Source organism: Homo sapiens, chromosome 3 (genome assembly GCF_000001405.40).
Source record: "Homo sapiens chromosome 3, GRCh38.p14 Primary Assembly".
NCBI lineage: Eukaryota > Metazoa > Chordata > Mammalia > Primates > Hominidae > Homo > Homo sapiens.
The window spans coordinates 168,926,323-168,936,903 of NC_000003.12; the positions used below are offsets into that span (position 1 = coordinate 168,926,323).

Consider the following 10,581-nt stretch of genomic DNA (forward strand, 5'->3'; position numbering starts at 1 on the left):
GGAAGATGGCTACAAAGACTTGAAGAGCTGGCCTGGTAATCATTGATAACAAAACACTTCAGGTACAACAGAAAGCCAATGCTTTTTATTTAAAAAGTTAGCTTAAACTGAGAACACTTTCTTCTTTGTTGACTAAATCTTCCTTCTTGAAAAGACATTTCTTAAGCAGATAAAGAAATTTACACCCTCAGTTCATAAGGTATTTAATGTTTATATTCTCATGATGACAAACTGAGAGCCATTAGCACAAGGAGACTCTCTCCTGATGACAGAGGTGGATCTCCAGTGAAAGGAACCAAGTGAAGGTAAAGCGGTACAAGGCTTTGTAACCATAGTTACTTTAAGTCTAAGATTTTAAAGCTATTGTTTCCATTATGAAAGATGCATTAACATTCCTTTATGTCTACTCTTGGAAACCTTGTTATCATGACTAGCCTATTTACTTACTTATCTCTTAAGAGGTGGTTAGGCTTAATTAATTCTTAAACATTAACCTTGAAGATATATTCTGGAGGGTGGGAGAAGGGTTTTACTCTTTGAAAATGGGAAGGAGTAAACTCAGTGAAATGCTCAAATTCTGAGAGTAGCAGAAACTTTACCTTATGGACTTCTTTAAGAATTTGCTTCTACTTAATCCAGAAAATTCTGGAAATGCCCTCTTATGTCAATATGCATGCACCTAAATGAAGTGAAGGGTGAAATGGGGGTACTTTGGAAAGCAGTCCTAAAAAGCAACTTGTTATGTACTTAGCAGCTAATCATTCTTTTAGTTGTAACAGCTGTTTTCTTGTAAATGGTAAAAATATTCATGGTAAACTACGGGAATCATTCATACATTCATGACAATGAAGTAGGATGTTCTTTTATGACTAGGCTATTACCACATTAAGAGAAACTGCTGCCTCAGATTTTTTCTTTTCCCCTTTGTAGCAAATATTCTGACAACCACACAATTTTATCATTTGCATTGAGAGGCTGGCTACAGTAAACTACTATATCATTGTAAAAAGCACTCTCTCATTGCTACTTCCATTTTTGAAGAAGGAATACTAGTGTGAGTTGTTCCTAATTGTTTATAATAAATTTTCAGCGTAAGAAGTTTTCACCTTACTTTTCAAAAACATTCTGAACACCAGTGTTAGCCTTACTAAAGACTTTTTTCTGAAGTTGTTTATTGCCTTGCAGAGCAAGAGGAACTTAACTCTCACTTAAAGCAGGCCTATATAATTTAATATGATAATCTTCCTCAATTAGACTCAACATGCTTACCCGAGTACTGTGCATCCAGGAAATTTTAGCTTGGACATAATTTTCTCAGAGAAGCCTTCTGTTTCTCTGCACTAAAACAGCCATGCTACCAACACACTCTCTGATCATATTTTAAGTCCTCCTAGCACCCTAATTTTCTTTATATGACTGAGCACATTTTAAATTCTTACTCAATTCTTGTCTTTTCCACCAAGTTTAAAACTATGTCAAAGTAAACTATCATCTGTGCTTTCCTAGTGTTGTTTCCTCAGGACCATGCATAGTGCTTTGCACATGGCTGGCCTTAGATAAATGTTTGCTGAATGAATAAAATTGATGCATTAACTGTACTGTGTTATGTTCCTTGAAGCATGAACTTTTCCATAATACCACTTTATCAGTTTTGTTTGAGAAAAAAAGATGAGGAGTGCAACTCTGTGCTTTGGAAAGCAAAATCTAGAATATCTGACTTGATGCATGCCCATAGTTAGTGACATAGTCTACCATCTTGGATTAAGCTTGAGACTTTCTCCCTCTCACGCCAACCTCTATTCCATCTCAGGAAGAGTATAAACATAAACCAAGGGCAGTATTGGGTCATAAGCAAGAATATGAAACCTTTCATTTGACAATAGAAGTTAAAACATTTTGTGTTCCCATAGTAAATATTGTGATTGGGAAGAACTATTTGACTCCTTGAGAAGATTATAGAGTTTTTCAATTCGACTGTTTCCTTGAGAATAAGGAAAGAAATTCATTATTACAACTGAAAATGAATGAATGAAGATCCAGGGTAAATGTATTCTGGAAATAATATTTCATGGAAGATACTCCCCCTTTATTCTAAGCACTGCCAAAAATGATTTGATGCTGAATGTAACATTCAGGGCAAAATAATAAGATCAAAAGGGGTGTATTATAGTTATATTAAGCTAGTCTGATCCTTTGAAATCTGTGTAAAAGGCCTGACAAAGCAGTAATTTTTACATATGGAAATGTATTTATAATAAAAGCATACGGATAATAAATTGCCTTTGTTGAATGAATAAAGTTAGATTAAATTCACAATGCCTGTAAAACCAGCATATTGTGAAAAACAAACAAACAAAAAATCAACCTGTAGTCTGGAGCTTCATGTTCTAGTACAACTTTTTGTCCTAAAATTTTCATGGGCATTATGATAAATTATCATAATCTGTTGGAGATTCAGCTTCACCACACGTAAAAATACACTTAGATTAAATGATCTTAAGTATTCCTACCAAGTTTACTGTTGTATTAGTCCATTTTCATACTGCTGATAAAGACATATCTGAGGCTGGGAAGAAAAAAAGGTTTAATTGGACTTACAGTTCCACATGGCTGGGGAGGCCCCAGAATCACGGCAGGAGGGGAAAAGCACTTCTTACATGCTGCAGCAAGAGAAAATGAGGAAGATGCGAAGGTGGAAACCCCTGATAAAACCATCAGATCTTGTGAGACTTATTCACCACCACAAGAACAGTATGGGGAAAACTGTCCCCATGATTCAAATTATCTCCCACTGGGTCCCTCCCACAACACGTGGGAATTATAGGAATACAATTCAAGATGAGATTTGGGTGGGGACACAGAGGCAAACTATATCATTCCACCCTGTCCCCTCCAAGTCTCATGTCCTCACATTTCAAAAACAATCATGCCTTCCCAATAGTCCCGCAAAGACTTAACTCATTTCAGCATTAACCCAAAAGTCCACAGTCCAATGTGTCATCTGAGACAAGGCAAGTCCCTTCTGTCTATGAGTCTGTAAAATCAAAAGCAAGTTAATTACTTCCTAGATACAATGGGGGTACAGGTATTGGGTAAATACAGCCATTCCAACTGGGAGAAATTGTCCAAAAAAGGGGGTTACAGGGCCCATGCAAGTCCAAAATCCAGGGGGGAAGTCAAATTTTAAAGCTCCAAAATGATCTCTTTTGACTTCAGGTCTCACATCCAGGTCACACTGATGCAAGAGGTGAGTTCCTATGGTCTTGGGCATCTCTGCCTCTGTGGCTTTGCAGGGTACAGCCTCCCTCCCAGCTGCTTTCATGGGCTGGCACTGAGTGTCTGCAGCTTTTCCAGGCGAATGATGCAAGCTATCGGTGGATCTAACATTCTGAGGTCTGGAGGATGGTGGCCCTTTTCTCTCAGCTTCACTAGGTGGTGCCCCAGCAAGGACTCTGTGGCCCCTACGGGAAGTGGGCATGCCCAGCAGGGACCCAGGAGGGACTCAGACTCCACATTTCCCTTCTGTACTGCCCTAGCAGAGGTTCTCTATGAGAGCCCCACCCCTGCAACAAACTTATGCCTGGGTATCCAGGATTTTCCATACATCTGAAATCTAGACTGAGGTTCCCAAACCTCAATTCCTGACTTCTGTGCACTCGCAGACTCAACATCACATGGAAGCTGCCAAGACTTGGGGCTTGCACCCTCTGAAGCCATGGCCCAAGCTCTACACTGGCCCCTTTCAGCCACGGCTGGAGCAGCTGGGACGCAGGGCACCAAGTCCCTAGGCTGCACACAGCACTGGGACCCTGGGCCTGGACCACTAAACATTTCCTCCTAGGCTTCCTGGCCTGTGATGGGAGGGCCTGCTGTGAAAACCTCTGACGTGCCCTGCAGACATTTTCCCCATTGTCTTGGGATTAACCTTTAGCTCCAAGTTACTTATGCAAATTTCTGCAGCCTGCTTGAGTTTTTCCCCACAAAATGGGTTTTTCTTTTCTATCATATTGTCAGGCTGCAAATTTTCCAAACTTTAATGCTCTGCTTCCCTTATAAAACTGAATGCCTTTAATAGCACCCAAGTCACTTCTTAAATGCTTTGCTGCTTAGAAATTTCTTCCACCAGATACCCTAAATCATCTCTCCCAAATTCAAGGTTCCACAAATCTCTAGGGCAAGGAAAAAAGGCTGCCAGTCTCTTTGCTAAAACATAACAAGAGTCACCTTTGCTCCAGTTTCCAGCAAGTTCCTCATCTCCATCTGAAACTACCTCAGCCTGGACCTTATTTTCCATGTCACTATCAGGCTTTTGGTCAAAGCCATTCAACAAGTCCCTAGGAAGTACCAAACTTTCCCACACTTTCCTGTCTTCTTCTGAGCCCTCCAAACTCTTCCAACCACTGCCTATTACCCTGTCCCAAAGTCGCTTCCACATTTTCAGGTATCTTTTCAGCTACGCCCCACTCTATTGGTACCAGTTTACAGTATTAGGCCATTTTTATGCTGCTGATAAAGACATACCCAAGACTAGGAAGAAAAAGACGTTTAATTGGACTTACAGTTCCACATGGCTGGGAGGCCTCAGAATCATGGTGGGTGTCTTGCGCATCCGTGTGAAGAGACCACCAACAGGCTTTGTGTGAGTAATAAAGCTTTTTAATCACCTGGGTGCAGGTGAGTCTGAAAGGAGAGTCAGCAAAGGGAGTTAGGGGTGGGGCAGTTTTATAGGATTTGGGTAGGTAGTGGAAAATTACAGTCAAAGGGAGTTGTTCTCCTGTAGGCAGGGGTGGGGGTCACAAGGTGCTTAGTCGGGGAGCTTCTGAGCCAGGAGAAGGAATTTCACAAGGTAATATCATCAGTTAAGGCAGGAATCGGCCATTTTCACTTCTTTTGTGATTCTTCAGTTGCTTCAGGCCATCTGGATGTATACGTGCAGGCTTGGGCTCAAAGGCCTGACATTCCTGTCTTATATTAATAAGAAAAGCAAAACCAGATAGTGGTGAAGTGTTAGGGTGGTGAAAATTTTTGGAGGTGGTATGAAGAGATAATGGGCGATGTTTCTCAGGGCTGCTTTGAGTGGGATTAGGGGCGGTATGGGAACCTAGAGTGGGAGAGATTAAGCTGAAGAAAGATTTTGTGGTAAGGGGTGATATTGTGGGGTTGTTAGAAAGAGCATTTGTTGTGTAGAATGATAGGTGATGGCCTCGATACGGTTTTGTATGAATTGAGAAACTAAACGGAAGACACAAGGACTGAATAAGAGAAGGAGAAAAACAGGTATTAGAGGACTAAGAGTTGGGAGGACCCAGGACATCCAATTAGAGAGTGCCCAAGGAGGTTCAGCATGATTATTTGCTTGGTTGGTGAGTTTTTGGGCCCTATCTTTGAGTTTTTTTTTATGTTGCCATGTACCATGCCAGATTGATTTAGGTAAAAACAACACTTTTCATTTAAAAATATACAGAGTCCTCCTTTTTCAGCAGTAAGTCAAGACCTATTCCCGTCTTATTGTATTAATAATAAGAAAAACAAAACAAGATAGTGGTGAAGTATTGGTGTCATGAGGGGAACAGGAAGCTGTTCGGTAATATTTGCAAACTGATTTTTAGGGGTAAGGAAAACTAGTGTACATGTGCCTGTCTAATTAACAGGTAGACACATGTAGGTAGAGGAGCCACAGAGGAAGAAGAGACCTTGTGTAAGGCAAAACTAGAAATGTAAAGTAGGGGAAAGAATTGGAGTGTGTTTTTTCAGCAAAGGTCATTTATCCACTGTAAGAGGGAGTTAAGAGTGGTGGTTAGGGGATAAGACCAGGACCAGCTATGATGGTTTGGAGAAAAAATATAAGCCAGTAGTGTAGACAAGGGTGGGCACTCATGGATAAGTGAGAACGAAGAATAAGAGTATGACTAGACAGAAGACAGCAAGGATGAAAAGTTTTTAGGATGCAGTTTAAGTAGTAGGGGTGACTGCATAAAGCACTATTGCAAAGAGTAGGGTAAGGATGAATAGACCTAACAAAATGAAAGGATGTATTAGGCTCATAAGGGTCACTACTGTTCTTTAGAAATGTGGGTGACTTTAAGGGAAGTAGGGATAAGTACTTGCGACTTCTAGGAGGAAGAGGAGAGATCAAGCTGGCTGTCTGATGGACACAGCTTTATTCTGGAATGGTAAACCCAGTGGGGAGGGTCCTGCAGGTGGAGGCAGTTGGGGTATTATAGATGACTAAGTAGGGTCTGGTCCAATGAGGTTGTAGAGTTTGAGGGATCGGATTCTTAACAAGAACTGATTCCCACTAGCGTGTCTTTATATGGCTGGGAATCTGGAGTAGGCAAGAGAAGATTAGCAACCTAGCGAATTTCCTATCTAGCCTGCTGGAGGACTGGAAGATAGTCGCCTAGAGGGCTGGTGTCTGGGAAGAGGTTGGGGCTGAGCAAGAAAGTGAATTATGTCTAACAGAAGGGAAGAAATGACTGCAGCGGCCCTCTCAGGCCTTGTGGGAAAAGCCTCTACATATCCAGTGAAAGTGTCTTTCCAGACCAAGAGGTATTTTAGTTTCCTGACTCAGGGCTTTTGAGTAAAGTCAATTTGCCAGCCCGGGGCAGGGGCAAATTTGTTTCAGGACCAAATGTCATGTGCATCTGTGTGAAGAGACCACCAACAGGATTTGTGTGAGCAATAAAGCTTTTTAATCACCTGGGTGCAGGTGGGCTGAGTCCAAAAAGAGTCAGCAAAGGGAGTTAGGGGTGGGACAGTTTTATAGGATTTGGGTAGGTAGTGGAAAATTACAGTCAAAGAGGGTTGTTGTCTTGCAAGCAGGGGCAGGGGTCACAAGGTGCTCAGTGGGGAGCTTCTGAGCCAGGAGAAGGAATTTCACAAGGTAATGTCATCAATTAAGGCAGGAACTGGCCATTTTCACTTCTTTTGTGATTCTTCAGTTGCTTCAGGCCATCTGGATATATGTGCAGGCTTGGGCTCAGAGACCTGATAGAGGGAGGTGAAAGGAACTTCTTACATGGGAGCAGCAAGAGAAAATGAGGAAGACACAAAAGCAGAAAGCCCTGATAAAACCATCAGATCTCGTGAGACTTATTCACTACCACAAGAACAGTATGGGGGAACCACCCCCATGATTCAAATTATCTCCCACCAGGTCCCTTCCACAACACATGGGAATTATGGGAGTACAATTCAACATGAGATTTGGGTGGGAACACAGAGCCAAACCATATCAACTCTTTTGTGACCCAAAATACTCCAGGTGTTCTAAGAGCTCAAGATGGCTAGCAATGACGCTGCCTCTTGCATTGGAAGGGAAGAGGAGGTGTACTGAAAGGAATAAGTTAATGAGAAGATGGAGGCAAAGAGAAGGCAACGTGTTTGTGGGTTAGCATATGAATAAATGCATGAAAGAATGTGTATCGGTTACCTAGTGTTGCCATAGCAAAGTACCACAAACTGGGTGATTCAAAAAGACAGGAATTTATTGTCTCACAGTTTTGTATGGTGAAAGTTTAAAACTGAGTTGTTGGCAGGCCCATGTTCCCTCTGAAACCTGTAGGGAAGAATTCTTTTTCTAGCTTTTGGTGGTTTGCTGTTAATCTTTGGCATGCCTTACGATGCAGATGCATAGCATGGTTAGCACGGCATTCATCTTGTGTCTCTATCTCATTACATGGGTATCTTCTTATAAAGACACCACTCAGATTTAGTTAGAGATCCAACCTACTCTAGTATGACTTTATCTTAATTAATTGCATCTGCAATGACTCCATTTCCAATAAAGTCACATTCTGAAGTACTGGGGTTTAGGACTTCAACATATCTTTTGGGAGAAGACATTATTCAACTCATAACAAATTGCATCTGAGATAATCCTCAAGTAATTTTTCTCAATCTGTTATCCATTGTTGCTCCACTAAGACACCCCTTTGGATATCTTCTTCATAATTGCTCCTCCAAGAAATGTTAATACCACAGATCTATAACTGTTTAAATCATTTAGCCCTTTGGAAAATCAAACACCATTGTTGTATCTAAGAATCTAAGGGTTTGTTTTTGTTTTTGCCTATCAGGAAGTATCCATTTTTATGTTCTTGATAATTGAGAATACATGCTGAGAATTAGGGAAAAATTCATGTTGTATGATCAAAGGAAACCTTTTAATAATATATATTGTTATTATTTTGTTTGCCTGGACCAGGACATTTGCTCTGTTATAAATAAAATGCTAATATTGTTTTGTTTTGTGTTAAAGAGACATTATATATAGTAAACATTTTGAATTATTCTTTTTTAATAGTTTTCTTATTTTCAGGTTATTAAAATGGTTCTAGGTTTTTTTTTTTTTTTTTTTTGAAACAGAGTCTTGCTCTGTCACCCAGGCTGTAGTGCAGTGGTGTGATCTCATCTCACTGCAACCTCTATCTCACGGGTTCAAGCAATTCTCCTGCCTCAGCCTCCTGAGTTGCTGGGACGAAAGGTGCATGCTGCCATGCCTGACTAATTTTTTTTTTTTTTTGTATTTTTAGTAGAGACAGGGTTTCACCGTGTTGCCCAGGCTGATCTTGAACTCCTGAGCTCAGGCAATCCTCCGGCCTCAACCTCCCAAAGTGCTAGGATTACAGGCATGAGCCACTGTGCCCAGCCTATTTCAGGTAATTATAATCCAGATTATTTCATTGATTTCTTGGAGCCATAAAACATGTTGAATTACCATGGATATCTAAAAATGAGTTTAAAAAATTTTATTTTTTCATCAGAAATACTCTTGGCTGTGGTTTAATTCTTTTTCATGTTATATATAAGTTAAATGTATGAAAGCAAGATAAAATGATCTAAGATTCCTTATAATCCCCATGTGGGCTTCAGGCTTCTTTAATTGGAAGTCAATTTATGACAAAGTTGAGTGCATAGGAAAAATTCTTGGTAGAGAGAGCATATTACTGTAGATGAATTACATATTCTCTAGACAATATATTTTGCTAAAAGAAGAGATCAAGAAGACAAAAGGACAAAACCAAGAGAAAGAGGTCTCACAACTAAAAGGGAGGAAGAAATCAAGCTGTCTTTATTCACAAGTGACATAATTGTATAGAAAACCCGAAAGAGCCAGCAAAAAACCTCCTGGTACTAACAAGCAAATATAGCCAGGTTGCAGGATACAAGATTGATACAAGTCTATCACTTTCTTATACATTAGCAATGAGTAAGTGTAATTTGAAATTAACAACACAATACCATTTACATTAGCACCCTAAAAAATAAAATATCTCAATACCTTGAGATATTGAGGGTGTAGGTAGAGACCACTGCAATAAAGCAAATATTGCAATAAAGCAAGTCACAAAAATGTTTTAGTTTCCCAATGCATATAAAAGTTATGTTTACATTATATATATTCTATTAAGTATGCAGTAACATTATGTCTAAAAAGCAATATATATCCCTTAATTTAAAAATACAGTATTGCTTCCAAATGCTAACAGTCATCTGAGACTTCAGCAAGTCATAATCTTTTTGCTTGTGGAGAATCTTGCCTTGATGTTGATAGTTGTGGACTGATCTGAGTAATGTTTAGAAAAGATTGAGATGGCTATGACAATTTCTTAAAATGATACAACCATGAAGTTTGCTACCTTGATTGACTCTTTAACTCACCAAAGATTTCTCTGTAATGTGAGACACTATTTAATAGTATTTTACCCCCAGTAGAATTTCCTTCAGAATTGGAGTCAATCCTCTCAAACCTTGCTGTTCCTTTATTAATTATGTTTATGTAATATTCTGAATGCTGTCTTGTAATTTCAACAATGTTCAAAGAATCCTTAGTAGGAATAGACCTCACCTCAAGAAACCACTTTCCTTGTCATCTATAAAAAGCAACTCCTCACCCATTCAAGTTTGATCATGAGACTATAGCAATTCAGTCACATCTCCAGTCTCCACTCCTAATTTTAGTTCTCTTGCTATTTCTACCACATCTTCAGTTACTTCCTCCATTGAAGTCTTGAACTTCTCAAAGTCATCCATGGTGGTTGAGATCAATTTCTTCCCAAATCCTGTTTATATTAATATGTTGACCTCTTTCATGAATTATAAATGTTCTTAATGGCATTGAGAACAGTAAATCCTTTCCAGAAGGTTTTCAATTTACTTTGTACACATCCATCACAGAAATCACTATCTATGCAAACTATAGCTTTATGAAATGTATTCGTTAAATAATAAGACTTGAAAGTCAAAATTACTTCTTGATCCATGAACTGCAGAATGGATGCTGTGTTAACAAGCATGAAAACAACATTAATCTCCTGCACGTCTCCATCAGAGCTCTTGGGTGACCAGGTGTGTTTTCAATGAGTAATAATATTTTGAGAGGAATCCTTTTTTCTGAGTAGTAGGTCTCAATAGTGGGCTTAAAATATTCAATAAACCATGCTGTAAACAGACATGCTCTCTCATCCAGGCTTGGTTGTTCCATTTTTATAGGGCACAAGCAAAGTAGGCTGGGAATAATTGTTAAGAGCCCTAGGATTTTTAAAATGGTAAATGAGCATTGACTTCAACTTAAAGTTA

The 10,581-nt window shown here is 39.5% G+C and overlaps 1 annotated feature.

Moving 5' to 3' along the window:
• Positions 3,737-4,237: an enhancer, noted in NCBI's record as "NANOG-H3K4me1 hESC enhancer chr3:168647847-168648347 (GRCh37/hg19 assembly coordinates)". NCBI's record gives its function as "activates a minimal SCP1, AML or CMV promoter by ChIP-STARR-seq in primed H9 embryonic stem cells {active_cell/tissue: H9 hESC(primed)}" and the evidence as "EXISTENCE:reporter gene assay evidence [ECO:0000049][PMID:30033119]".